The 2,238-nt window shown below is 44.5% G+C and overlaps 1 annotated feature.

The window, feature by feature from the left end:
- Positions 923 to 972: a silencer, noted in NCBI's record as "silent region_16060". NCBI's record gives its function as "represses an Ori minimal core promoter by ATAC-STARR-seq in GM12878 lymphoblastoid cells {active_cell/tissue: GM12878}" and the evidence as "EXISTENCE:reporter gene assay evidence [ECO:0000049][PMID:35858748]".

The following is a 2,238-nucleotide window of genomic DNA, read 5'->3' as shown; positions in this document are numbered from 1 at the left end:
TTTTTAGAAAGCTCTTTAGGTAGAAGAATCATGGGAAAAAACATGAGCTCCCTCAAGTAGTGGTGTAGCCCCACACCACCCTGCCAAAAATGTTCTTAGCTACCCATACCTTGTTCATTCAAACTTTTGAGCGATCTTGGGCACTCTGAATTCTGATAGCAATAATGATACATGGCTTCAGTGCTGTCCTTTGTCTTTTTGATGGCATATTTCTAGTCTACTTTTGCTGTTCTTATTGAAGAAATCAATTCCTTTTTTTAAAAAATGAATTGATTGTTTTTTCCAACATGTCCCATGTCAGTTGTATCCACTCCCACAGCTCCAGTTATCATTTCTATGCCAGTGGCTCCCAGTTTTACATCTTTTGCCCAAACCCCTGTCCTGAACCTTAGATGAACAACTGTAAGCTAAATATCTCAATCTGGATGTACAGAAGCATCTCATGTGCTATGTATTCGAAACTTATTTTCCCCCCATATTCTCCTCTTAATTTCCTACCTAGAGGAAGGCCTCGCTGTCTACCTGCTTTCCCAAGCCAACAACCTGTCATCTTTGGACCCATCCCCATTCATCATCCCCTCCATCCAAATGCCAAGTCTTATTGATTATACTTCCTAAATATATTTCAAATCCTCTCTCCCCATCACCACTGCTACTAATAGTCCAGGCCACTATCATTTCTTGCCTCAATTACTGCAAAAGTCTTCTTAATCACCTCCTTGACTTCAGTCTTTGTCCTCGGAGATCCAAGCTACAGATTGCAGCTGAAGTGATTATTCTAAATCACCAACATAATCATGTCACTCTGCTACTACCAAATTTTCAGGATTAAGTCCAAATTTCTCAACATGGCTTTATAAGACTTTCATGATTTGGTCCCTACTTGTTTTAACCCTTTTCTTTCCCGCTTCCCCAAACCTTACTGTAGCCACAGTGAGCTGCTTTCTGTGTGTTCTAGTGTTTCACAGTCTTTGCATATACTAGACACCACTTGGAACACTCTGGCTTCTCTGCATCACCTGATACTGGTTATCAACCACACTCAGTTTCAGATCTCAGTGTAAATGCTGCATGCCTTGGAAAGCTTCTCGGCATGAGTCCCGCCCTTGGCTAAGTAAGGCACCCCCTCTACACTCCCATGGCACCCCATACTCACTCTTGTCAGAGTATATTGCACACTGTTTTCTAATTTTTTATTTACCTGTATGTCTCCCCTTACTAGATTGTTAACTCCCTAAGGACATAAAATGTCTCATTTACTTTTTTTTTTTTTTTTTGAGACGGAGTCTCGCTCTGTCACCCAGGCTGGAGTGCAGTGGCGCGATCTCGGCTCACTGCAAGCTCCGCCTCCCGGGTTCACGCCATTCTCCTGCCTCAGCCTCCCGAGTAGCTGGGACTACAGGCGCCCGCCACTACGCCCGGCTAACTTTTTGTATTTTTAGTAGAGGCGGGGTTTCACCTTGGTCTCGATCTCCTGACCTCGTGATCCGCCCGCCTTGGCCTCCCAAAGTGCTGGGATTACAGGCGTGAGCCACCGCGCCCGGCCTCATTTACTTTTAACTCTCATGTAAAGTGACCCTGTAAAGGTCTTGTAATGATCCTAGTAAAGTCTTGGAATCAGTAAGCTCTCAATGACCATTGGCTGAACTAATGAATGAAGTTGTAGAAGTGATAGGTTCCCTGGCTGCTAGAACACTTACTAATGAAGCTCAAGTTACTCTAATTGTTTGGATTAACAAGTAAATCTTCAGGTCTAGGCCAGATTGGTGGAAATCAGGACTCCTACTTTTGATGGAGAGCCTGGCCTGGACAGTAGGCTCCACAGCCAGCTGTTTCCTTACCAGTGTGAGGCATGCAAATTGTAAAAAGCCCTTAATCCTTAATAATAATAATAATAATTATTATTATTATTAGTTGAAGTCTAGCTCTGTCACCCAGGCTGGAGTGCAGCAGCACAATCTTGGCTCACTGCAACCTCTGCCTCCCGGGTTCAGCGATTCTCGTGCCTCAGCCTTCCCGAGTAGCTGGGACTACAGACATGCGTCACCGCACCTGGATAATTTTTTTACTTTTAGTAGAGACGAGGTTTCACCATTTTGGCCAGAGTGGTCTCAAACTCCTGACCTTAGGTAATCCCCCTGCCTTGGCCTCCCAAAGTGCTGGGATTACCGGCGTGAGGCATTGCGCCCGACCCCTAATCCCTAATTCTAATAGAAGGAACTTCATCTTCCAAGATGA

This window comes from Homo sapiens, chromosome 5, assembly GCF_000001405.40.
Source record: "Homo sapiens chromosome 5, GRCh38.p14 Primary Assembly".
NCBI lineage: Eukaryota > Metazoa > Chordata > Mammalia > Primates > Hominidae > Homo > Homo sapiens.
This window is presented reverse-complemented; position numbering and strand designations above follow the sequence as displayed.